Consider the following 27,704-nt stretch of genomic DNA (forward strand, 5'->3'; position numbering starts at 1 on the left):
ATAACGTAAGTGAAATTAACCAGATATAAGACAGTATTAGGTGGGTAAGGCCTGTGGTGAAATGAATGGTGCATGGCCTGTCTAAGGGGAGCAACTGCCTCTCATTGTTTGCCAGTTATTACCAGGTGAGAATGCTAATTTTAACTGAAGCCAGAAATTGGATTTTACATGATATTTCCTGATTTTTAAAACACGATTGAGACCAACCAAAGATATATGTGATCCACATCTGCCCTGTATGCCACCTCGTTGTGACCTTTATCTTAGAGGTTTCTTCTTGCTGAATAAGTCTTGCAGAACTTTTAAATTTGTTTGCTTTTAGCAGTGTTCACATCCACTTTACTGTCTATACCCCTACTTAGATTTGTATGTCTTGCAATTCATAGACAACTTTCATATGTTTTATCATTTTGAATAACAATCCCAATAAAAATAAACTTATGAAATGGATGGATTGGGTATTTTTTACTTCATCTCCCAGATGAATAAATTGAGGCTTCAATCCTTTAAGAGACTTGTCTCAGGCAACACAGCAGATAAAGAACTTGATCTCAGCTCTGACTCTGACATTGTTTTACAGACAACACATTTTTACAGAAAAGATTTTTTTTTTTTTTACATTTTTAGGGATCTTTCAATTGCACCATGTTTTCTCTGATGAGATGATTGTTTTCTGATCACTTTGCAAGACCTTCACTTGTTTTCTTTTGCTTTCAGTTTAAAAAACATCGGCTTTCCGTTGTACATACCAATACCTATGCGAAATCTGTGGTGAACATGGCAGATTTAGTAAGTATCAACCCCGTTCATTATTGCCCTAGAAGATTCTTATTTCCTAATTGCTAATAGAATGGATAATATGATTCTTATAGTTTTACTGCTCTATGTTGCACTTCAGCCAAGGTGTCTAGTAAGTTCCGGGTGACCTTGCAATAGACTTTATTGACTTTGATGTCTGGCTGGGAAGAGGAACTGGTCGAAGTTATCCATAGATATGCTTGAAATTCCATCCTATGTTTTTCACACTGTAAAAACAAAGGTTGTGTCATACCCCTAACAAAGGTATTCACAGTGACTTATAACGATGGAGAAACAGTACAATAGTTGTGCCTTTAAGAGTGCCTGGTGCTGTGGCAGTGATGGAACTAAATAATTCCACTATACCTCCATACTTCCCAAATCTTCCCTTGATGAGGCTGCGCTAGTACCTTCTTCACAAGTCTAATCAGAGCCAGTCAGCTTGTATAGAAATTATTTCTTTGGAGAGTCTTCATTGCTCCATTTTTGGCTAGGGGAACTCAAGCATGCATGAATTCTTTTTCCAGGATACCAGAAAACAGATTCAGGTGGAACCTTGAATAGGGTGCAGGTATTTGTCAAAAAGGGATCTTTTGTTTCCAAAAAGTGCTCTGTTCTTTGGGTATTGGTCAACAATTTCATTCTCTGTTACTCAAGGGAAATGCATGTAAATTAGAAAGTTATCTCCCTTTAACTAAAACTCAAAGAAGTTTCCATGAAAGGAGTTTTGTAGTCCTGTTCATAAACTATTTGATTTTACCACATGTACAGCTGATGTGTTCATTTTATTAATATACTAGATATATAAAGACCAACTTAAGACCAGGATAGTATTGGTTGCTATGGAAACCTGGGCGACTGACAACAAGTTTGCCATATCTGAAAATCCATTGATCACCCTACGTGAGTTTATGAAATACAGGAGGGATTTTATCAAAGAGAAAAGTGATGCAGTTCACCTTTTTTCGTACGTAACTTCTGTAATGATGTATTACTTTTTTTGATTCCATGTTAAATGCTTTATTGTGACTGAAATGTATCCTTTCTGCTACATAACACAATTAGGATTTGACATGGCAGATGGCAGATAGATTTGGAAAAAGTTTTCAAGTATAGATTGCTTAAAATTGCCATGAAAATGTAAAAGTTTTAATTTTGAGTTATTTTATTATTTAATGTTTAATTTTTCAAGATATTTAAATAGAGCATTTACTGAGTAAAAATACTGCTAATACTCATATATAGTATTCTTAACTACAGATAAATTATATTCTTTAAAGTTACTGTCTTTTAAATGTTAATGTTTTCTCTGTTTTTGGTTCTAAGATGAGAGCTTAGTATTTCTGGAATTTATTTTTAATTTTTTCTCACTCTTATGTTCTTTTTTTGATAGCATGCATATTTGACGTAATAGCAAATTATATATAGTAGAATTTTAAAAATCTATCATCTAAAGTCAGAGCTGTTGAAGAAAGTTATAAAAGGAAGAAAAGATGTATTTTGGGGTAACTTTATATATAATTCCAAATTTAGAGAAAAGTTGCAAGAATACTACAAGGAAATTGCATATGCCCTCTATTCAGATTCATCAATTATTCACATTTTCCCCATTTGTTTCATAATTTTCTTCCATTCTCCCTCCCTTCCTTCCATTCATCCATCCTTCAGTTTTTTTTTTGTTTTTTTTTGTTTTTTTTCCTGAACCTCTTGAAAGTAAGTTGAAGACACTTACTGGGGATTTATTATTAAATAGTATATATTCTCTAAGAGTAAAAAGACATTCTCTTATATAACCACAGTAAATTATTAAAACCAGAAAATTTAACACAAACATAATACTTTTATGTAACCCATGGTCTATATTCAAATTTCACCAATTACCTCAATAATGTCTTTTAAAGCTAATTTTCCCCATCCAAATCCAATCCAGGATCACACATTGCATTTAATCATCATGTCTCTTTAGTCTCCTTTAATCTGAAAGATTTCCTCAGCTTTCCTTTGTCTATTTTGAGTTTAATACTTTTGAAGAGTATAGGCCAATTATTTTATTGACTGTTCCTCATTATGGGAATGCCTGATGTTAAGATATGTATTTTTGGCAGAAATACCAGAGAAGTGATTTTGTGTCTGTCTCAGAGTACATCATATCAACCAATTATTTTTTAATAGATATACTTCAATTTAAGATATTTATTAATCTTGCAAGAAAACATCCCTCATAAACCTTTTTCTTTGGTTACATGTATAAACAATTTTCACATTCTTCCCTTGCAATGTGAATATATTGTATAGAAATCTTATGTATAGAGAAAATAAATGTAGTAAACTAATAATGAGGGGTGCTATGATGTTTGAACTGTGAACAGTAAGCATTTTTCATTTCCTTTTCTAAAAGGGGAAGTCAATTTGAGAGTAGCCGGAGCGGGGCAGCTTATATTGGTGGGATTTGCTCGTTGCTGAAAGGAGGAGGCGTGAATGAAGTAGGTGTGAACATCTGTACAATACAAAGTGGTATGATGGCTGAAAATGTTTTCCTCATACTTAAGAGATAATTTCTCAGTATTCACATACTCCAGATGTTAGATTGCTATATTACAAATCAGTATGGTGGCCTGGCACAATGGCTTATTTCTGTAATTCCAGCACTTTGGGAGGCTGAGGTGGACAAATTGCTTGAGATGAGGAGTTTGAGACAAGCCTGGGTAACATGGCAAAATCCTGTCTTTATCAAAAATACAAAAATAGGTTGGGTGTGGTAGCGTGTGCCTGTAGCCCCAGCTACTGGGGAGGCTGAAGTGGGAGGATGGCTTAAGCCTGGGAGGCAGAGGTTGTATTGGGCCCAGATTGCGCCACTGCACTCCAGCCTGGGCAACAGAGTGAGACCCTGTCTCTAAATAAATAAATAAATAAATAAATAAATAAATAAATAAAATTAAAAATATAAAAAACTAATATGGTTACTGTAAGTGACCAGAGGACAGACTGGGGAAATAATGGCAGATAATATGGGATAATTATTATATATTCATGTTATGCTTGGAATAATTTCCAGATTAAGCTACTTACAGATTAAATTGAGAGAATCTTTACCTTTACCTTCATTGAAAATAAGGCCCTATTTATCACTTTGAATGATTTTCCAGGGAATTGAATAATTCCCTGAAGCATCAGGTTGTCACCTAACAACCCAACTGGATATTTTTTCCTTAGTATTTAACAGATTTGGGGATAAGAAAAATAGAGTAGGTTTTCCAAAGGGTTTCTTTTACTCCTAAGGCACTAAACCTACTAGAGATGATCAAAAAGAAAATACTTGCATTTTTAAGAGGCTGCAAATTGAAAAAGATATCCTCAGTTCTTCTTAAGTTTCTATTGGCCGAAGATCATCACTACCTCCTGTTACTCATTTCATTTGTTTTCTGAAGCTACATTCTATTCCACTTGAGGGGAATTTCAGGATTACAACTGGATACAAAGATGAACAAGTTCTAAAAAAATTTACAGATTTAATTTTATTTTGTATTATCCAAAAGACGGATTTAATTATATACCAATATTGAATTTTTCAAGAATGTCACTGGTGAAATTTGGACTCAGATATACATTTCCAAAACCCAAAAGCTGTGATTATTTCCTGACTTCTAGTATTCCCTGTAAGACCTAATCAAACATGGATTTTTGTTTCTTACTACTTTTTCCCAAATGCATATTCAGTGCTGGCTACAGTGTGTTCAGCCTCTTCTAAAGAAATTGCTTAGAAATTACTTATTTTCAGCGATATTGTGACATTTTTCTCTGGTTCTTTGTCAGTGACAATTTGGATTTACATATATTTTATTTTTGTTTTTGTTTTTCAGTTTGGGAAAACTGATTTAATGGCTGTTACACTTGCCCAGTCATTAGCCCATAATATTGGTATTATCTCAGACAAAAGAAAGTTAGCAAGTGGTAAGTTTTAGTACATGTGTGGTTAGTTGTATTTAAAATAGACTATTTGTGAAATATTTTGGAGAGTAAAATTTTTTGATTTAGTTGCTTGATGAAAGGAATTTGAACGATAGTAAAAGATAAACATCCAGCGCACAAACTGTTGTTTTCCAAAGTAATACAAAGAAATATTTACATTATAGGTGGAAATTTCTATGACTATAATAAACTTTAAAGCCGTGTGATAATAAATTCAAGCTGAATTTAACCTTATAAGGGACAAAATTAGCCCAGTTTGTTCATCATTAATGGTTTAGTAGAGAATTCTAGGCATATAGGTTTCAGACGTACTGGTTTTTTTATGTTTTATTTAAAACATCTCTGAACATGGCCACAGAGGTAGAGTTTCCCTGTCAGGATCAGACCTGATAAAAAGCTTAGTTAATATATGGACCTAGTAAAATATGCTAGGTTTGGTATCTATGAAGAATGTCTTTTCTCAAGTAGGTAAAGTCACTTTACCCTGAATGGTCAAATACTATGTATTTACCTTAAAAATTTGATTATTTCCATTTTTATTTCAGTAACAAACATCATAAATATTATTTTTATAATCTGGAATCCCAGCACTTTGGGAGGCTGAGGCAGGCGGGTGGATCACCTGAGGTCAGGTGTTCGAGACCAGCTTTGCCAACATGGTGAAACCCTGTCTATACTAGAAATAGAAAAATTAGCCGGGTGTGGTGGCAGGCTCTTATAGTACCAGCTACTCGGGAGGCTGAGGCAGGAGAATCACTTGAACCCAGGAGGCGGAGGTTGCGGTGAGCCAAGATCACACCATTGCACTTCAGCCTGGGCCACAGAGCGAGACTCCATCTCAAAAAAAAAAAAAAAAAAAAAAAAAAGCTATTACCATGTATAGAGTACCTATTATATGCCAGATGATTGAGTGCCAGTATTACTTCCATTTAGATACTCATTTAATTCTCCAGGTAATTCTACAGGACACCCATTTTTAGCCCCATTTTACAGATGAAGTGACTAGCTCTTACAAGTATAATGTCTCTAAGATTACACATATATCAAATGGCAAACTCAGGTTTTGAACCCTAGTATTTCTGATTCTGAAACCCTTCTGCCTAACCAATAATATATTACACTGCCTTCTACCAGAAACCTTGGTGTGTGCAGAGACTTTCAAAAATGGTCAAGAAATTATAATAGTTCTCATAAAGGCCTGTGAAACTGAGATCCTGTAATAGTGCCATAAAGTTCTTCATTCTTCCATTGGTATTTGATTGTCTTTCATTTAAGCCATTTTAAATAAATGGTTTAAATATGGCCATTTGTTAAAATACAAGGGTTTTTTTGGGGCAAAAATTATATAATCTTGATAGGGTCAAAGTATATTTTTGTTGCATATTACATAAAAAAACTATTGTAAGATGAATTAGAAAGAAGTTACTACTTTTTAAAAGGCATTTTAAGGAATAAAGTGGAGATAATTATTTTAAAACAGAAACTACTTTAATGCAACTGTGTTCACTTTATAACAAGGCATGTGTATTAATTTTCTCTTAGGTGAATGTAAATGCGAGGACACGTGGTCCGGGTGCATAATGGGAGACACTGGGTGAGCCACTTGTATTTGAAAATAACTCAGTCTTACATTCCCTGCTGTGCTGTTGTCTTCTTAGGAATATGACACTCAATAACTTAGTGCATGGAATCTAGCACTTATAAAATATTTTTGCAAAATAACCTCTTATTTATAAAAACAATTGATGTCAATTAAGTTGGTAGACCTCAAAGATTTTTTTTTCTTTAGCCTTACATCTAGGCTATAAACGTAAGAAATGAGGGACAACTTTGTTTTTGGTGGCTTACCTGCTAATTCCCTTTCCTTTTATTTCCTTCAATTCTAATTAAATGGTTTATAAACAGTAGTGTGCTGGTAAGTTAACTCTTGAAAACAAAAATTAGAAAACAGCCTGGATTTGTAGCTTTCTCACATTTCTGAGGTGTAAATAGTCCCACAATGGCTGACTTCAAGCCATTACTGATGGCTTCATAATGTGGTATTACTGAAAAGGGAGTTGGGAAGAGAAATGTACAATCTGCTCTCCCGAGAAAGGTTTTCATTTTTATACTGTCCTCCCTTTCACACGCTCAGTCATCAATGCTTGTCTTTTATTCTTGTAAATAAATTTTACAGTTATTCCTTTTATTCCAAGCTTATCATTACTGCCCTAGTTTAAACTTTGACCATCTTTTGCTGTTATTATTTTAATAACATTTCAAATACTGAGTATAAATTCGGTTCAGTGTTTGGGTGATGGGCGCACCAAAATCTCACAAAACGCCACTAAAGAACTTACTCTTGTAACCAAATACCACCTGTTCCCCCAAAATCTTTGGAAATAAAAAAATTTGGAATGTTATTAAAATAATAACAGCAAAAGATGGTAAAAGTTTAAACTAGGACAATAATGATAAGCTTGGAATCATCATCATTAAAAATGTATGAAGAATAAAACAGTGGATACTTATACACCCATTATCCAGCTTTTAAAAAGTAAAATACTGCATTTGTGGTTAAATCTCCCTTCTGTCCTCCATTATTAATTCCCAGCCCCAGCCAAGGTAACCACCATCTAAGTTTGGTTCCTATCATTCTCAAGTCATTCTTTATACTTTTACTGTATAGTATGTATGTGTGTTGGAGTAAAACATAGCATTTGGTTTGCATGTTTTCAGTTTATGTGAAATACATCATGCTGTATGTATTCTTCTGTGACTTGCTGTTTTTTATCAATATGTTTGTGAGATTTATCCATCCTGTTAATATACAATTCTTGTTCATTAAATGCCATTCTCCTGCTGAGAAATTGTGTGAGTCTCTGATGTCTAAAGAATGTGGTTCATAATCTTAACTTCATTATTTAGATGCCCATAATCTTTCTTCATTTTCATTTGCAATCTCCTTTTCCCCTACTATTCATGATTGGTTTGCTTACCATAATAGTACAGGAGTTTCTAGTTTTTTCAATTTGCTAACCATAATACTACATAGATTTTCAGCTTCTTAAATACTTGCTCACCATAATTGTACATTAATTACCAACTTCATTTGATTTCCTCAATATATTCTATTTATCTGGAATGCCTTTCCCTTTTTTCTCTATCTAACCAGATTTCTAACCATCTGAGATTTGTTGTAATTTTAACCCCTGCATTAGAATTTAATCATGTGTACTTATGCTTCCTTTCACAAATTAGTTATAAATTTTTGAGGGATTACTTATTATACTAACACATATTTCAGACCTCACATCATAATCCTTTGTACAAACTTGATTTTCAACAAATATTTCTTGATTGTGTTTGAATTTTGAACTCGCAGGATATGTATAACGAGGAAAATAAATGATAGAGGAAATATATATGCAAACATCTGTTTAAAATATTTTTCCAGCCAGGCATGGTGGCTCATGGCTGTAATCCCATCACTTTGAGAGGCTGAGGCAGGCAGATCACTTGAGCCCAAGAGTTTGAGACCAACCTGAGCAACATGGTGAAACTACATCTCTACAAAAAATACAAAAATTAACCAGTCGTGGTGGCACACACCTGTAGTCCCAGCTACTTGGGAGGCTGAGGTGGGAGGATCGCCTGATTCCAGGGAGGTTGAGGCTGCGGTGAGCCATGATTGTGCCACTGAATGCCAGCATGAGTGACAGAGTGAGATCCTGTCTCAAATAATAATAAAGTAAAATATTTCTCCAAAAATCTTTGGACTTTTTGTTTAGTAATGACAGGAAATGATAAAAGTTCTATAGTTGCAGTTTCAACAATTACGAAATTTCATACTAGAGATTCTTGTCTTTTAAATCCTACATAGTATATTTGATTATCCTGATTATTAAAATGTTTAATAGATAATCTGCATAGCACTAAGCATAATATACAGTGAAGTCAAATGGCTACCTTCAGATACGTACAGCTGTGTACATTGGAATTCTTCTTAAAGAGATGCAAGCAAGAGAAAAGCCGTTTGTATAAAACTATGGGATATGACGCTATAATTTGATTGCACCAAATATCACCAAACAGCAGTAATTATGGACATTTGTTCCCATGGGTACGTTCCCTACCATTTCTACTTTCTGAAGTTCTGTACAGCTAAATATTAGAAAGCAGGGTTGAAATGAATACCTTCAGTCCTATTTAAAGGTATGAAAATTAAAATTTGAAGAATGCACTGAATACAATAGCTATATTATTCTGTGAAACAGAAGTTGTGGGGACAGAGGCAGGAGAGAGACATGATATCTGCCTTCAGATAATTGAAGGGGCTATGTTAAGGCAGAGGAATAAGACTTTACATAGTTAAGAATACAGAACTGTTCAGAAGTTAGAGGTCAGATGTGGCAAAATAAAGGTAAGAACAATCCACAAATGTTCAACTGTTCATATATTTTAAAAGCTTCCCTGTTGGGGAGTTTACTGTCACTGCCAAGGGTTGGAGAACAGACTGAGCTTCCTCCCAGCTCTGCAGTGGGCAGGAGGGTGGGCTTGGCTGTGACCCCTGAGGGTGCTTTTACAGAGAGGCCTCTTTGTAGGAGGCTTAACTAGACTTTGACTTCTAAGAGTCCTACACTAAGAGTTAGTGACTTTTTACTTTGGCAGTATGGATCCAACTCAGGTTTTGACCAGTAGGATAAAGAGGGACTTTGGGGCTGGGCATGGTGGCTCACGCCTGTAATCCCAGCACTTTGGGAGGCCGAGGTGGGTGGATCCTCTGAGGTCAGGAGTTCGAGACCAGCCTGGCCAACATGGCGAAACCCCGTCTCTACTAAAAGTACAAAAATTAGCTGGATATGATGGCAGGCGCCTCTAATCCCAGCTACTAAGGAGGCTGAGGCAGGAAAATTGCTTGAACCCAGGAGGCAGAGGTTGCAATGAGCCAAGATCATGCCACTGCACTCCAGCCTGGGTGACAAGAGTGAGACTCCATCTCTAAATAAATAAATAAATAAATAAATAAATAAATAAATAAAAGGAGGGGCTTTGAAAAAAGACCTATTTAAATTTGATAACTCTGGCAGAGATATGTTGGATAGATTAGAGGAAAAGGTGATAAAAACATTGGCTGGAGTAAAAGCATTGCAAGGAAAAAAGGAAGTAATATTGTTACCATGAAACAGATGGCTTGGTTGGTCACTTACTGGGTATCAACTTAATTATCATAACCAAGGAAGATTAAATGAAAGGGATTTTATTACTTTTAACAAGCAAGTAGAATACCATGGATAGTTCCCAAAGCAGTGTATCCCTGAGCTGGAGGCTGTGTCAGGTTTTATAAGCATAGGGTAATGAGGTGTGATCTGATTGGATCTTGCAATGAGGTGGTGCTGGGAGGCATGATCGGACTGGATGCCAGAGCTCAATCTGATTGGATACTGGATCCTGTCATTCAGTGTATATTAGTTTGTTTTTCATTGTTATAAATGAAAACCTGAGATTGGGTAATTTATAAAGAAAAGAGGCTTACTTGGCTCACAGTTCTGCAGGCTGTACAAGCATGGCACCAGCATCTGCTTGGCTTCTGGTGAGATCTCAGGAAGCTTTTACTCATGGTAGAAGGCAAGGGGAAGCAGGTGTGTCACATGGCAAGAGAGGGAGCAGGGGAGAAGGGAGGGGGTGCTAGGCTCTTTTTAACAACCGAATCTCGTGTAAACTTATTACCAGCCATTTCCTCTTGGAGGGCACTAAGCCATTCTTGGGAGGACTCCCTCATTAGACCCCACTCTCAACATTGGGGTCATATTTTAACATGAGATTTTGAGGGGACAAACATCCAAACTTTATCATCGTGTCTGCTGCTTGATTCAGTCCCTGCTTCTCAGCTGAGCACTTAGGTTCCTCCTGTGGTTGCACCATTGGTTCATCTGAGCATGGTCAGGCTATGTGACCTAAGGGTCCACGGCAACTGAAAAACAATTCATAACATTATTACATAAAAGTTGAACCAGATTGGTCTGATGCAGCCACAATGTGTGTAAGAAACTTTCAAATGAAGAATAAAGTTTGTCTTGTCAGAATTTGTTACTTGAAAAAAACCTGGTTCCTTTGCCTGGCAAGAACAAACAACTCTTCACAGGAATGCAAGTTTTGGCTGGCCCAGTGGCTCATGCCTATAATCCCAGAACTTTGGGAGGATCGCTTGAGCCCAGGAGTTCGAGACCAGCCTGGGCAACGTGGGGAAACTTTGTACAAACTTAAAAATTAGCTGGGCATGGTGGCACATGCCTGTAGTCCCAGCTACTCGGGAGGCTGAGGTGGGAGAATCACTTGACCCCAGGAGGTCCAGGCTGCAGTGAGTGGAGATCACACCACTGCACTCCAGCCTGGGCAACAGAGTGAGACCCCTGCCTGAAAAAAGAAAATGCAGGTTTTGATCAGTGAGAGTTTTATTACTAGTCACAAGTAAAGAGAGCTCTGAGAGTATTCACTAGACGAGTGTCTTCCTGAGGGAAAGCAACAGGAGGGTTTTATGGGGAGGTGGAGGGGGGAGAGGGTGTGTCATTGCATGCAGAGGAGGGGTCCCAGTGGTGCAGATGCAGTGAATCATTATGCCAGCACATAGGTTTCAAGTTATAGTAATGAAGCTATGGTTCCTCCCGTGGTGGAGACTTTAGCATGGTAATGAGGAAAGTTTACTTGGGTTCATTTATAAATTGTCAGTGTTTGTCGGGAGCTGGTTCCAGCTGACTAGGTGACCACATTCCACACAAAGTGTGGGAAAGAGCAGGCTGCAAGGCAGGAGGCTGTAAAACAGGCTGATTGCTCAAGTTGATTAAATTCCTGTAGTATCTGGAAACCCTCCTTGTCTGCTTAGAGGAAGTGGAGGTGAAGGAAGTAAAGGAGTTCAGACAACTTAAACCCAAGACAGCTTTATTTGGAGAGTTTGGCATGAAGCCCTTTAAAAATGAGTTTAGGGTAAATAATCATTATAAATTCCATTAATTAATAACAAAGTATTAACTACTGTGTTTAGAAGAAGTAGGGATATAAATGGACAGTTTTTGCAGGCTACTGGGAAACTTTATAAAAACTACTCATTCTTACCTTGTTTTTTTTCCCTTTTTATCAAAGCTCAATGTAAAACAATATTTAAAAAATATAGAAAATAAAATCTTGGTGGCTTTTCTCCAGTAATAACCATGGTTGATATTAAAATACTGCTGTATTTTAATTCAGTATTTAACACTGTATAGTCAGCATTTTTCTGAGTCTGTTCTTCAATACTATGATCATTAATAACTACATGGTATTCTGTTTTATTAATATATATCACAGTTTAGTTATATATATATCACAGTTTAGTTAACAGTTCTTACTGTTGAACATTTAGGTTATGCTTTCGTTATATCCTGTTATAAATTGTGCCACCACAAATATCTTTGTTCGTACATCTTTGTGCACGTAGCCAATCATTTCCTCAAGAAAAATTTCTAAAAGTAGAATTACTAGATCCAAAGGTGTGCTCTTTTTGAAGATTCTTAATGCATGTTGCCAAATTATTCTCTAATCAAGATCTTTTTTCTATTGACCTTTTATTAGTTTTTTTAAGAATACATTTTTTTAAAAAAAACCTCAAACCTGAAGAAGAGTTGCAAGATTAATAACAAAGAAACTTTTTGTCCGGTGGATCATAAATTGCTTAGTATGCCATTACTCCTAAATACCTTACTTTGCATTTTCTACAAAGAAGTACATCCTCCTACATAACCACTATACAACCAGTAAAATTATCTAATTCTTAGCCATCATTCAGGATTGTCCCAGGTTTCAATACTGTCATTTGTAGCAAAAGGAATCACATTTGGTTTTTGTGTCTCTTTAGCTTCTTTCAGTCTGGAACAGCTCCTCTTTCTTTGACTTTTAAGACCTGACATATTTATATTATAGGTCAGTTATTTTGTGGAATGCTCTGCAGTTTGGATTCTAGCTCAGTTTTAATATTTAGGGAAGACTCATTATAAAATAAATTTTTCCCAACTCTCCTTGATTTAACTTGAATGCACATGCAAATAATGAAAAACCCACAGTAACTATTAGTCACCAAATGAGGAATTTAAAAATAATATTGATTGGCCGGGCGTGGTGGCTCACACCTGTAATCCCAGCACTTTGGGAGGCCGAGGCGGGCGGATCACAAAGTCAGGAGATCGAGACCATCCTGGCTAACACGATGAAACCCCGTCTCTACTAAAAATACAAAAAATTAGCTGGGCATGGTGGCGGGCGCCTGTAGTCCCAGCTACTCGGGAGGCTGAGGCAGGAGAATGGCGTGAACCCGGGAGGTGGAGCTTGCAGTGAGCCAAGATCGTGCCACTGCACTCCAGCCTGGGCGACAGAGCTAGACTCCGTCTCAAAAAAAAAAAAAAGAAATAATATTGACTGAACAAAACTCTTATAGATTGAATATAAATGTCATACATAAGTAGACTTTATTCCCTCATTTTAAAGAGTAATATACAATTTTAAGTCTTCAGTTTTCAGACATTCACAAATGAGAAAGATGAGTTGAACCCAGCTATTGCTTTTCTTCTCTTTTATAGCTATTATCTTCCTAAAAAGTTCACCCAGTGTAATATTGAAGAGTATCATGACTTCCTGAATAGTGGAGGTGGTGCCTGCCTTTTCAACAAACCTTCTAAGGTAATAAGTGTGGTTAATAAGGTTTATAATATTAATTATCAACCTTTCTAAAATATTACAAATACACATTTTCAGCTATTGAATCTTAGAGAGCTTTTCAACTTGCCCTGTATGTACATATTCTAGATATGCTATATATCTGCATATTCAAAGTCAGCTTTAATGTTGGGCATTTTGGGCTATTCTGATGGGAATAGAAAGCAGGTAGAAATAAGTGTTTGCTGTCTGAAAAATTTCCACTTTCTTTTTATATAGCCAAGTGATGATTCAGAGTTAGTTTACAAAAATGGTTTTATTACTTTTCTTTTTTATTTTCTTGATGTTTATTTTTTTTGGTTACCTAATCACAACTCATACAGGTAGAAGGTGGGGGCTTATCTACCCTCATCACTCCCTATCACTGCCTTTCTGAATGAGCAGTATGTTAAAATTACAAGTATTTCTCAGTATGAAAAACAAGTCTTCTTAAAGCAGAAATGGAGAAAGTCTTGGACTTTGTCACAGGCTTTTACAACTTGCAGCACATCCTCTGGTTACTGACTAGAAAGAAGGTCTTCCTCCTGCATTTTGAAGACTTTGCATGTTAAAAAAGAATGCTTTGTCCTTGCGAATTATGTGAACTGTGAAATGCTTCTGTGCACCACAGGGATATGCACCATTGCCTTTGTAATCATTTAATTTACCTGGTTTAATTTTCTGTTCACTACAGTGTAATTTAGAAAATGTATCATACTGAATTGCGAAGCAAATTGACAATTTTAAGACTCTTCGAAAGATTGGAAAGAACATTTGAACTGTATCACTGCTGCCATAAATACTAAACAGTTCAAGTCTTTTTACCAAAATAATTGATTATTATAAACCCAGAGTAAGAGAATAAGTGTGGTTATCATTTGGATAAGTTTCCATTTTTGCTGTTTTTTATTTGTTATGATCAGTTTCGACCAAAAATGAAATATAGACAAAAGTTGACTCATTTGTAGAAGAGAGAATATTTAAAATCAAGTGGGTTTTGTTGTTGTTGTATATATTCTTTATTTTGTTGTTTTTTTCCTCTAATTAGTTATGAAAGTGTATGTGTGCACGTGTGTATCCATCTGTTTACTGGTGTGTGTACATTTTCATTCTATAATACGTAAACTTTGATTAGCTTTTGAATGAATATTAGGTATCTGGCATATAACAATTATTTACTAATTTTGCCTGTCACCATAGGATACATTATATTCAAAAGAGAACAAAGTTGATGAAGAGCTAAACAATAAAACAGACCTAAAACATACTCTTGGACAGGCCAAAATTTGCTTCAATCTCTGGGGAAAATTTAATTTTAGTTCGCTGCAAAACTATCTTAATAGGAGGAGCTGTATTTTTTATTAAGTCGATCAATGGATATACTAATTTTTTGATGCTTTTCTCATTGTCTATGAAATAGTTTCCTGTATCAGAAGGAGATATAGTAATAAAGGGTTTTTTCACAGATGACTAAACTTAATCCTGAACAATTTTCTGATGTGGATGGACAACTATTATTATTATTATTATTCCTGTTTTAGATATTAAGTTCTCTGAGATATTAAATAGTTTACCCAACGTAAGTACTTGAGCCAAGATTTTAATCTAGACATCTGACTCCAAATTCCCCTGCTTCCAGTTTGAAATGAATTTTCAGGAGAGACTCTGGCTTGATTTTAGTGAATGGTTAGATCATCTTTAATTTTGATGACATTTACCAGACCCTATGTGGTGTGTATGTTATATATATAAATATATAGGTAAACTATTTACTATGTATATTAAATATGAAAAGGAAACAGAAGTAGACACTTCTGTTTTAAAGTTCCAAGTTCTGAGCTCATGCTTTCTAGTTTAGGAAAATAAAACTATATTTTAGAATGACTGGCAGGGCAGGTATATTTGGGTATGGCACTTATGGTCTCTCAAAGTCTTTGATGTTGATTTTTCTATATTTTAGTTCACTTTTTGGTTTTCCTCACAGCTTCTTGATCCTCCTGAGTGTGGCAATGGCTTCATTGAAACTGGAGAGGAGTGTGATTGTGGAACCCCGGCCGTAAGTCTCTGGTTGTTTTGATGATATTTTCTAGGTAATTCAGGGTCATTCCAGGTCCACACACTGAGATGTATGGAGCAAATGTCATGCCTGGAATTTTATAGGATTTGTGGAAGAAAAATTATTGTGAGTTTGTACATTTATTTTAGAAAATATCCTGTTACTTTCAGGAAAGTGACACCGTTTTCTGATGTTTTGAAAATGTTTATATTCCTTAGGAATGTGTCCTTGAAGGAGCAGAGTGTTGTAAGAAATGCACCTTGACTCAAGACTCTCAATGCAGTGACGGTCTTTGCTGTAAAAAGTGCAAGGTAAATAAACATTAATGACCATTTGACAGAAAAAAAGGACATACTTGATTAAATCATTAAGGCTGGGTAAATATAATCTAATAACAGAAATAGTATCTAACATATATTAAATGAGTAAGTGCCAGGTGCTTTATAGGATCTTCACAAAATCTTGTGTGGTGTAGTTGCTTATTATTATTCCCATCTAAAAGATGAGAATACTAAGGCTTGTAGTGGTTAAGTAGTTTGCCCAAGGTCTTACACCAAGTAAGTTGGGGAACTAGGGCCTGAACCCTGTTAATCTTCAGAGGCTGTCCTTTCCATACTTTCTGTGGAGCATGCACATTAAATGAAACCAGGTGTTACTAATGTTTAAATGATGTTTACCTTTCTTGGTAAAGCCAAGGAGACTTTCAGTAGATCTTTTCTTGTTGCTCAGCTTGGTGTATCTCTTGCATTAGCTGCTGAGGAAACAAGGGAGTACTTTGAGACATGATAATACCATGCATATATTATTGGTCCTGCAAGTTTAGAATGCATCTTTACACACTTTATGTTTTCATCCTCCCAGCAGCATCCTCATACCTATCTCCAAATATTTAAGCCTTTACATCAATACTAACATTTGAGGCTTACTTCCCCTAAAGAAATCTAATTCTTGTTTTCTCATACAAAATCTGGTGTAATAGTCTACGTTATTTCTATCTGTCTCTCACTTTACTCTGTACATTTCATGGAGCAGAGCCAGGCACTTAGACAGTAATTGGTATACATTCTCAGTAAATATTTGTTGAGTGAATGAATAAATATGCACTCTCTTAGTGATAATTTGCTGATTGAGTAACTTTAAAGAGTTAAAGGAGGATGGGATATGAAACTATCATAGTAAGTATCTACTGTGTGCCAGAGATTATGCTAAGGACTTTTGTATCATCTTATATCTGAATTTCTCAACTCTGGCACTATTGACATTTTTGGCTGGATAATCCTTTGTTGTAAGGGTATGTCTTGTGCATTGTAGAATATTTAGCAGTATCTCTGCATTCCACCCATTAGGTGCCAGCAGCACCCCTCCTAGATGGGACAGCCAAAAATGTCCCCAGACACTGCCAAATGTTCCCTTGTGGGTAAAATCACCCCTGGTGGAGACCACTCTCTGAGATAATGCTCACAAGCACACTTTTGGGATGGGCATTATTATCTTGATTTTTACAGTTAAGCAAACTCAGTCTCAAGGAAGTTAAATAACCTCTATACAGGCTCACTTAGCCAGTAAGGAATAGATGTACAGTTATGCCCCAGATCTGCTGGCAGCAGTTTCTGTTGTTTCCACTCTACCACTGTGTCTCCTGGCAGCTTTTTAAGACGAGCAGGCACTGGCAGAGATCTCTGAAAGCACTCTGTTAAAAAGAAGATTAAACCAAATGTGAAAGACATTCTTTGATTTTGGCTACCACCCCTGTTTATTCTGTCAGCTTTTTCCACTGCCGTAACAAGACATCCTGAATTATTTATCTTAATCCTCAATGTTTTAAGTCTGCCCATCTACAAAATGCATTTAATTACACTGTTTTCCCTTTGATTTATACAACTAGGCTCCCTGTGATATAATTATTTCAAGGAACAAGTAGAAAATAATACTATTAAAATACATAAAATAAAATGGCATGACTGCCATCCCTCAAAGTAAGTTATAGCTGTACCAGTCAAGAGTCAAGTGAGATCTTTTTTGCCACTTTCTTTACCATCCTCCCTAACTCTCACCTGCCACCCTAGACTCCTAGGGCAGCCAGAGGCAGGACAGTGAATGGAGGAGGGAGAATAGAAGAAAAAGATAAGAAACTGTGTGTATCTCTATTTTTTTCTACCTGTATTTATAATAGTGTATCTATAAGCCAGCATTGGCATGCTTTTTCTATAAAGAGCCAGATAGTAAATAGTTTAGGCTTTGTGATCATAAAGTTTCTGTTGCAGCTCAGCTCTGCCTTTGAAAGCAGCCTTTGAAAATACAGAAACAAATGGGCATAGCTGTGTTCCAATAAAACTTTATTTATAAAGATAGGCAATCAGTGAAGTTTGACCCATGGGCCACAGTTTGCAGACCACTGCTGTTAAAGAGTGCTTGTTTACTTGTTTATTACTTTTCTTCTCCCATTATAATACAAGGGTATTTATTGGCAAGGATTTTGGTTGATTTATATACTGCTGTATCCTAGCACTTAGTGCAAATCCTCCCTCCCTATTCTTTCTTTTAGAAGTTTCCTGGAACTTCTTGAACATTATGCACTCCTCTAAACTACCCCAAATTTGCTCATATTTCTACCCTAGATATTCTAAAATGTTGGCTTGTCTTAGTCCCAAGGAAGAAGAGAAACGTGAAATTAAATTTTCTTATTTCCTTATTTTTAACCCACATTAAGATGCAAGTTCCTGATGAGCAGGGTTCTTGTGTTTTGTTCTCCATTGAGTTCCCAGTAGTTAGAACAGTGCTTGGCACGTTATTAAATATTTGATGAATGGATGAATGAATACATATTTTGTTTGGGTCTTCTAAAAAAAAATACTTGTTGAAATCCAGATTGGAGTTTATAGTGGGCAGTGCATGTTCTAGGAACAGCAGGAGACTCAAATGCCTGTAGAGTTCTGAGCAGCTAGAGAAGATAAAGCTTATCTAGAAAGTGAGGGAAGCAGAATAACATGTGCCTTTGTGTGAGCAGACACAAAGCATGTAAGGATACAGCCCTGAATGCTAACATTTTGGATAGAGAAAAAGAGAAGGATTGAGAAGGGAAGGGGAAGTACTTTAACTATATATCTCAGGTCTGTTTCATTTTAATGAGTACTCCTGCAATTCACATTTTTAACCTAATGAAGTTAAACATTTATTTGTATAACTCTCACACTTGCAAGAAGTATTTGAGATGATGGAAAACAGAAAAACAAAAATGCCTATATGAAGACTTAAATAATAGAAACACTAGAAAATAATAAAAGACCAAGATCTAAATCCATGTAAAAATGAGGCAGGGGAGAAGAAGGGTAGAAGAAACATGGGAGGAAATAGCTTTGTCAGAAAATCTAATTTTTGTGGTTCAACCCAAAATGTAATTTTTTGATTCTTGGTAGATAAGGCAGAAAAGGATAATGTGATAAAAGTGTCGGTGAGAATGAAGAGTAAAGGGTAAATTCAAAAGCTATTAGTACAGAAAAATTACTAGAACCTGGACTAACTGGCCTGTCTTGTGGAATTTAGCAGTATAATATAAGGCTTATGTGTAATGACTATGGAAATTACATCATACACAAGAAACTGTTTCTTAAAACTATTAAAATAAAATTTTTTTCAGTAACTGTGGTTTTGACAGATTACCATCTTACAGTAGTTTAAGGTATTTCTAGCCAAACAATTTTCATTTTGTTTTTTTTAGATGATATTGTAAGATTTTTTTTTCTCCCTACAGTTTCACACGTTGATTTTTGTTCATTTTAGTTTCAGCCTATGGGCACTGTGTGCCGAGAAGCAGTAAATGATTGTGATATTCGTGAAACGTGCTCAGGAAATTCAAGCCAGGTAATTTACAAAATAACTGCTCTAAAACTTATGGGAAAAAGTGGGGGTATCTTTAGTGCACTGACCCTCAAAGAGAAATGTAAATGAACAAGATGCTCGTGTCTCTTTCACATCATTTCTCCATTTTTTTTAGGAATTTAAGTTTCAGTGATTGAAGCTTGAGCAGATTTTGAACATAATTTTGTCTTAACGTTGAACTAACCTCAGACTGCGTGCATGCCTTAACTATTTTGTTTTTGTATTAAGTAGGTAGTACAAGGCATTTTCTTTTCATCTACTTAGTAAAGGAAGAAACAAATAAACTCTCTTCAGCTGATTGAACAAGAAGTCAGTGGAGGCAGGGACTCACAAACACACTGGATTCTTAGAGAGGACCCTTTTCTTTCTCTTGACTCTTATCTATGATAGCTTGCATCGCCTCAGCCATCAATAGCTGCTCTTGAATTTTATAGCACTTAGTTATAGATAGACAAGCTAGAGAAATTGAATAAACTTTGGTGGGAGTTCACAGATTTCAAAATGGTCACTGTACATACAGACGGTCCTCACTTTGAAGGGTAGTGCCAAACCATAAAAATGACCATGCAAGCTGAGACTATGCAAAGTCATTTTAATAATCAAAGGAAAATACTGCACTTGTTTTGCAGTCCTCAAAAAATGCTGTCAGATTATTAAAAACTCTCTTACTGTTGGTTTTAAATGGATAGGAAGGTGAAAGAATAGTATTTATTTAGCATACTGTACATTAAAAGAGAAACATTGAGAATTAAAGGATTTTATTTCTTTGTAAAAACCTTAGGAGTAGTTTGAATAGAGCTTGCCTTCTTATAAGCTTTATGATATAGAGTGAGCATATTTTCTATGCCTTGTTGAACTGTCACACCCTTTTCTAAGTTTGGATCAGCTTTCAACATTTTACAACATTTTATTCTTTGTGCTTTCAATGTCATGAGATATCCCTGAGAGATGTGAAGATGTGAATGTGAAGTTTCTTGCTGGCGTTACCCCCTCTGGGACATCGTCACCTATATGTCACAATCACCTTATTCACCGATGTCATTAAGTCCTCCTTCAGCAAGTTCCTCTGGTTGCATGTCTAGAGGCTCTTGAACAGCAATATTGACATTCCCACAGTCAGCAATTTTTTTCTGTAACTCCATTTACAAGTTCAATTTGCATTTCACTTCTGGTGTCATCACTTTTCTTTGCTGCACTTTCATCTCTGTTGGCCAGTTTCCTCTCTTGGTATTCCGTTTTTGCAAAATGGCACATGATATCATCAGAAGACAAAGAGGCAACATAATTGCATGCTTTGCTGTCTGTTTATACTCATTCAATATTGCCTTATAATTTTTCATAATTGCTGCAAGGAAAAAAGGATTATAAAGTGTGCCCTTTTCTGACATTCTTAAAGTGGACTTTGGCTTGAAAGTCATTATTTTTAGTATAAGGGCTATGTTTCTTCTCATGGCAAAAGAAAGGAAACTAGTTATTGCTCCATTTATGCAGACTTACTCTTTGTTTATTGTCCCCTTCTCTTTCTTGCTCTGAAAAATAGTATATCTGTATGAATCAAGATACTTTTAAATGTATCATTAATTGAGTCTATGGTAGTCAGTTCTTTTTATTTGCTGCTATGTAATCAACTGTTTTTGCCTCTGGTAGATTCATATTTTCAGGGGCAAGTGTACCCATTGTTTTTCCTCTTGCTTTCTCTTTTATTTTTTTAATTTATTTTTTACCAAATACCCAGACTTCAAGGACATCCACTTGCTCTTGACCTCCTTTGCATTTTGTTTTATAGATGGTATAAGGGACTAGCCATATTAACAAATATGTTTTTAAAAGTGAAAACATTAAAGGGTTTAGCTCAGCCTTATATTTTGCACTGCATTTCATTCATAGTTGTTCTCTTTTTCCTAGTGTGCCCCTAATATTCATAAAATGGATGGATATTCATGTGATGGTGTTCAGGTAGGTCACTTCATTTTTACCTATGTTTTTCACATGTACCAGCATGAAAGGAATACTGAAATCTTATCAAAATAGGAAGATCAATTTAAATGTTTGTAATCAATTCTGAAGATAAAAGGCCTCTCTACTATTCATCTATTATTTTTCCCAATCATAGTTTCTTTTTCAGTTATCTGACATAAGCAGATATTGCATCGCTAATGGGTATTTGCTTTTCCGTTTTAGGGAATTTGCTTTGGAGGAAGATGCAAAACCAGAGATAGACAATGCAAATACATTTGGGGGCAAAGTAAGTAAATAGTGTGGCTTGATCATTGTTAAAGCATGATGTCAGGCGGACTTCTCAAGGACGTGTGTGCTGGAAGTAAATTTTTGACTACTTTATGACTGGGGGATTCTCAAAGCTACCACAGGTCTTAGCAGGGGCATGTTTCTGGAAATTAGAGTAAGGCACCCCTTTGAGAAGCAGCCCCACACATCTTGGCTAGTTGGCAGTGCCTGTGGACGAGACAGAAAGTGCCTTTGCTGCCAGGCAGATGGAGCCCATGCCAGGGTGCACAGCTTGGAGAATAGAGCAAACCTGGATTTCAGCTCCATGTATACTCTTCTCAGCTGAGTGCCCTGAAGCTAAAGCTTCACAACCATATGGGATGGACGTGGACCCTGGACAGGACGTCCTTAACTTAGAACAGCAGCATTTTATCTAGAGTCATTTTTTTCCTCCTTGGATATTTTTCTTAAACTCTAGTTGGCTTTCCTAGTTACGCACTTCTGCTAAAGTGGCTTTGCTGTATCAGAAAGAAATGTTAATGTTTAGCCTTTAAAGTCTGTCAGATTTTCAAAGGAAAATATATGATATTTAGATTTAAATTATACTCTATTTAAATGTTTATTTAAATGTTGAGTAATGTATTGTTTCCTAGAAGTACTACTAGCCCAAACTTTTGGAAGCAGTTTTTGTTTTAAACTGTTTCAGGAGACAATTTGTAGTAGGAAAAAGGCTATAAAAATAATGATAATTCTTAATAGTTATAAGTAGGTGCCACAATCCTTTTAGGAGGGGAAGTGTATGCTCTCTTTAAGCAATTGGAAACATTGGGATGGGAAAACATTTAGTCAGGCAGGTTTGTACTCCGAAAAAAGATATCATTTTTGTTTTATCCACTTGAGCAAAAATAGTAGCTGACAACAAGAAGTAGGAAACATAACTACCGACATAACTATTGTTTTTTTTAAAAATATACCAACAATTATCCTTTGATTAGTTTGCATTTTGTCCTAATTCTTAGATAACTCTATCAACTGTCCCTGGTTTTAGAAAAGATAAAAGCCTGAAAAAGATACTGATATACCTTAAAATGTTATTTGACTTCCAGAGATTTAGCATGAATTCAAGCTTGTCTTAAAGCAAAGTAAAATTGCTTTTGATAGCTGCTAAGAAGTGGGGAGCAAGGTAGAAATTGTACCACTGTTTCTTGAATCTAATTACAGGATATAACTATTATAATAAACTTGTCTTTATGATTAACAAAATATGCTGAATGAGAAATTCATGTATTATATTTAGCACTGAGATTAAAGAATAGAGTATATATTCAAGGAAATATTTGTTATTGCCTTCCCTAATTATTGGCCAAATTCTTTTGTTGTTGTTGTTGTTGTTGTTGAGATGGAGTCTTGCTTTGTTGCCAGGCTGGAGTGCAGTGATGTGATCTCAGCTCACTGCACCCTCTGCCTCCCGGGTTCAAGCGATTTCCCTGCCTCAGCCTCCCAAGTAGCTGGGACTACAGGTGCACACCACCACACCCAGCTAATTTTTTTTGTATTTTAGTAGAGACGGGGTTTCACCATGTTGGCCAGGGTGGTCTCGATCTCCTGACTTCATGATCTGCCCGAATTATTGGCCAAATTCTAAGGAGTGTTTGTTTTTGTAGCCTACAGCCTGAGTCCCAACAGAGAACTAAATACATTTGTTTACTAAATTTCAAATGAGCTTTAATGAAAACCTATCTGAGTCATGGATATATATGATCCATGGTAAAACTGTGAACCGTTCGTTGGTAACATTTTTGGAATTGATAACACTGTAGTGATGAAGAGTCCTTATATTACAATTTTTCTTTTCTGCAAAGCTTTTGAGCAGCCAAATCGTACTTCCCTCACTGATAGAAAATTTTTTTCTGCCTTAGAGGTGACAGCATCAGACAAATATTGCTATGAGAAACTGAATATTGAAGGGACGGAGAAGGGTAACTGTGGGAAAGACAAAGACACATGGATACAGTGCAACAAACGGTGAGGTGGAGACGTCAGCCCAGAATTCATCCCTTGGTCAATTACAAGTGTACTTTTTTGAGTGACTAGGAAGTTTCTGCTTTCTGCATCACACAAAGTGTGCTCTTGCCTCCTTAACCTCATCTCTTCCCAGTGTTCCAGCATCACCTGTGCAGAGGGCTTCCAAATCTTGAACATGTGTGCTCACCTCTCTCCTAAGGCCCAGGTCATACTTGCCCCCACCTCAGGATTTTCTTACCTAGAAGACACCTTTTAGCATCTCAAAGGCAAAAGAACTTAAAGCCACCAGAATATGCACTGAGTGCTGTTGAATTGAATTAACTGGCTCTAACTTTCCCAAACCACCCCCTTTTTGCCAAAGGTCTCAATATTTCACTGTCCTTCTGTCTAGAAGCCTTAAAGTGATCCTTCCCTCTACACATTGTCCAAATGCTAAATTACATCCATTCTTCCCTTTGCTTTGCCACCATTTGTCTTTAATTCATGTATTCACTTACGTTCCTATTACCATTACCTGAACTAAGACCTATATTAATCCTTCAACTATTACAAAATTCTTTTAACAGTTTTCTGTGCCAGCATTCCCTAGTGTACTACTATCAGAATAATCTTTTGGGTCTTTTTTACTGTCAATTCTTTGTTGAAAGTTCACTGGTTCCACATGACTAATTAATAGTGAGAACAGTACCCAGCACTGATTGAGTGAACACTGTGTGCTAAGCACTGTATCACACTTTACATAAGCTATGCCATTTAATCTTCATGGCAGTCCTCCCATTTTATGGAGGAGGAAACTGAGACACAGTTAATTTGTCCGAAGTCATGTATATGGGATGTAATAATAAGCAGAATTAGAATTTGGAGAGTATGATTTCAGAACTCTCTCTTCACCATTTTGCTGAATGTCATAGTCTTGTTAACAAATTAAATGGAACCTTAGCTTGGCACTGCACCTATTCAACAATTGTCCCCAACCTACACTTTTTGTCATTTCATTTATATTCTTCCAAATCTAGCAAACCTTACCATTCCGAATATGTCCCTACCTCCATGCCTACATTTATGCTCTATAATCCTCCAGAAGCACCCTTTAACTCATACCATCATCAGCCAAAAATATACCTATTCTTCAAAGCCCAGCTTGGGAAACACTTTCTATATATAAATTTCTTTATGATTTACTCTAGAAATAAATTATCTCTCTCTTCTTTGAACTTCCACAGCCCTTTGTACTTATTTGTCCGTAATTTTGTTTTATAAGTTGTTTATGTGTGTGATTTATCTTCTTATTTAGAGTATAATTTTCTTGTGAATAAAGATCATATCTAATTGTCTTTATATATCCTGATTACATAGGTTCATATACATAAATGACATTCAAAAAAGTTTTGAATGAATATCTCTTCTCTGTTGAGAAAGCATTTTTGTTTATGATAGATACAGTAAAATGATAACATAATTTTAAAAAGCATTTTTAAAGAATAAAGTAATACATTCTTTTCTATGTTGGTGAAAAATACAGGTTCTAATTTTTCTTTTTTCTCCATGTGGTAAAGTCTGATACTTTTGTATATAATCTTGCTGACTTACTAATTACTCTTCACAAGATATTTTAAAAATATGTTTATTGTTATCTCTACTAATAATTAAAATGTGTTGGATATAAATAATATGTAAGATAGTATTAACAACAGTAAAGATATTTTATAAGTTAAGTTAGAATCATATGTAATAGTTGGGGAAGTACTGAAATATATTGAAGAAAGGATAATGAGCCTTTGTAGTTGGCAGTCTGTAAAATAAATGCAGCCTATAATTTCTTCTTTAATTCTAGGGCAACAGGTTGAAAAAAACATCTGTATTCCAAAAGAATGCTCATCCAAATATCATTCAATTACCAATTAAAAAAAAAATTGTCTGGGCACAGCATCTCATGCTTATAATCCCAGTGCTTTGGGAGGGTGAGGAGGGAGGTTGCTTGGGGTCAGGAATTCAAGGCCAGCCTGGGCAACATAGTGAGACCCTGTCTCTGTGAAAAATTTAAAAGTTAGTTGGGTCTGGTAGCATACACCTGTAGTCCCAGCTACCTGGGAGGCTGAGGCAGGAGGACCACTGGAATCAGGAGTTTGAGGCTGCAGTGAGCCATGATTACACCACTACACTCCAACTTGGACAACAGAGTAAGACCCTGACTCTAAGAAAAAAAAAAAAAAAAGAAGAAGAAGAAGAAATAGATTAGTATATCCAGTATTGTGTTATGGGAAAAGAGATTTCAATATAAAAGAAGCCAATTTGATGGATTCTTTAAATACTTGAACTAATGGACAGTAAAGAAAAAGCTAGAAAACAATTGAGATTTTGGTACATCAGTAAGAGTTTCAGTGAAGACACTTTTTAGAGCAGGTGGCACACTAATTTGGACTTATTTTATTTCACTTGGCATATGAGTAGATAATATACTTGATGAAAACCAAATGCTAAAATGAGAGAAGATTATTCTAACTGTACATGGTTTGCTATATATTTGGGAAAAGAAGTAATTGGTAATCTTTTGATACAGGGATGTGCTTTGTGGTTACCTTTTGTGTACCAATATTGGCAATATCCCAAGGCTTGGAGAACTCGATGGTGAAATCACATCTACTTTAGTTGTGCAGCAAGGAAGAACATTAAACTGCAGGTAATTATCTAACCATTCTGTAAGAATCTGAGTCATCTTATTTCTCAGGAATGCAGTTTAGGATTCCTTCCGTTTTCAATTAATGTACATGTTAGTAGGTCGAAATATAATCTAGTCTATAGAGACGATTGAGTAAATCCTAACAGAGAAGAGATAAAAAGAAGATAAAAAATAGTTGAATGAAGAATATTGTGTGATTACTAGAGTTAGGTTTAGATTGGTCAGTAAAGTCTTATAGAGTTTGGTTTCCAAACTTACAGAATTTGGAAAATGAATGAGGACTTCTAGGTAAATCAGTGTATTAAATATATGCATCTACTTTTGCTCCCTTATGAAATCTCACTAAAATGATACCAAATGGATCTTTTTTTAGAGTTCATATATCCACAGGGAGGCATAGAAAGAGAGAAGAGATAATAGCAACAATATTTTGTTATGTATAAAGCAAATGGATGTGTGGCACATGACTTATCAAAGCTGAGAAAGCTGAATTCCTAAGTCAGTAATGAGGAAAACTGAGAATCAATCCAAGATATACTCTTACTTCCCCACAGGCTCAGAAATTGGCAGCATCATCTACTTTAGGAAGAGGGAGGGAAGGAGTGGAGGGAAGGGGCTGAAATACAGAAAATAGATGAAAGGCTGTTAAAAAAGCAGTTAGATACTCAGATTACTTCCCCAACTCAGCTAAACGGGATTTGCCACCCTCCCATGGAAGATTGGAGCTTTATACTCTATAGAGAATAAACGAGGAGGTTTCTAAGCTGGAGGACAGCAAGCAATATTTATATAAGGGTTGTAGGGAAGTAGTCCAACCTCAGTGGTACCGATTTCCAGTCATCTATTTGGTCTCCTAATTCAAATATGAGCAGATTATCAGAGATGTGAAAAAAAGTCTGTAACATGAAAAAAAAAAGACAAAAACAATGAGACAATGAAGGGGAAAAAAACAAAACCACTTATCAATATTTATGAGAGATAAGAGACTTCTATAATGAAACAAGAAAATAGGGTGCTGTTTTTTTAAACAGGGAACATTCAGAAAGAAAAAATTTAGTAGTTGAAATTATCTTCCAGAAAGTAGGGTAAAAAGGCAAAGAAATGGAACATAGAGAAAATCTTACACATTAGGATAGCAATAACAACAGAGGAAACAGCAGGGAGGAAATTTTCAATGAGTAACTCAAGAGAATTGTCTAGAAATAAAGGACTTGAGTTTCCATATTAACAGGCTCACCAAGTGCTGAATACAATGAGTGGAATTAGAGGTACATCTAAACATATCATTATGAAATTTTAGAACCTTAGAACAAAGCAAAGAATTCTGGAAGTTTCCAGAGAGGAGAAAAAAATCAAAGACTTAAGAAT

The 27,704-nt window shown here is 35.8% G+C and overlaps 1 protein-coding gene and 1 long non-coding RNA gene across 36 annotated transcripts in view, besides 1 other annotated feature; one reads left to right on the top strand and one right to left on the bottom strand.

Annotated features, from left to right (window-relative positions):
• Positions 1 to 27,704, top strand: part of ADAM22 (ADAM metallopeptidase domain 22) — a 268,639-nt gene that overhangs the window by 195,420 nt on the left and 45,515 nt on the right. For all 32 annotated transcript variants that reach the window (XM_017012330.3, NM_001391975.1, XM_017012335.3 and 29 more), the window contains 13 exons: positions 718 to 789; positions 1,599 to 1,765; positions 3,197 to 3,281; positions 4,659 to 4,749; positions 6,310 to 6,361; positions 13,356 to 13,455; positions 15,455 to 15,526; positions 15,745 to 15,837; positions 19,307 to 19,387; positions 21,311 to 21,361; positions 21,587 to 21,650; positions 23,551 to 23,656; positions 26,217 to 26,336. In XM_017012330.3, the coding sequence (XP_016867819.1) occupies positions 718 to 789; positions 1,599 to 1,765; positions 3,197 to 3,281; positions 4,659 to 4,749; positions 6,310 to 6,361; positions 13,356 to 13,455; positions 15,455 to 15,526; positions 15,745 to 15,837; positions 19,307 to 19,387; positions 21,311 to 21,361; positions 21,587 to 21,650; positions 23,551 to 23,656; positions 26,217 to 26,336 (1,154 nt within the window). The remainder of the gene's footprint in view (positions 1 to 717; positions 790 to 1,598; positions 1,766 to 3,196; positions 3,282 to 4,658; positions 4,750 to 6,309; positions 6,362 to 13,355; positions 13,456 to 15,454; positions 15,527 to 15,744; positions 15,838 to 19,306; positions 19,388 to 21,310; positions 21,362 to 21,586; positions 21,651 to 23,550; positions 23,657 to 26,216; positions 26,337 to 27,704) is intronic.
• On the bottom strand, positions 10,434 to 27,615 carry LOC105375386 (uncharacterized). Of its 4 annotated transcripts, none has more exons than XR_007060416.1 (5): positions 27,574 to 27,615; positions 27,153 to 27,232; positions 17,082 to 17,216; positions 16,204 to 16,277; positions 10,434 to 10,720 (listed from the first exon to the last, which is right to left on the bottom strand). It is a non-coding gene; the product is annotated as an uncharacterized LOC105375386 (long non-coding RNA). The 4 variants fall into 4 exon arrangements; XR_007060418.1 differs by having other exon boundaries at positions 16,204 to 16,280; XR_007060417.1 differs by lacking the exons at positions 27,153 to 27,232; positions 27,574 to 27,615 and adding an exon at positions 20,430 to 20,748.
• Positions 11,371 to 11,571: a silencer, noted in NCBI's record as "peak6626 fragment used in MPRA reporter construct". NCBI's record gives its function as "represses an SCP1 promoter by STARR-seq MPRAs in K562 erythroleukemia cells {active_cell/tissue: K562}" and the evidence as "EXISTENCE:reporter gene assay evidence [ECO:0000049][PMID:32103011]".

The sequence above is a fragment of the Homo sapiens genome, chromosome 7 (genome assembly GCF_000001405.40).
Source record: "Homo sapiens chromosome 7, GRCh38.p14 Primary Assembly".
Classification (NCBI taxonomy): domain Eukaryota; kingdom Metazoa; phylum Chordata; class Mammalia; order Primates; family Hominidae; genus Homo; species Homo sapiens.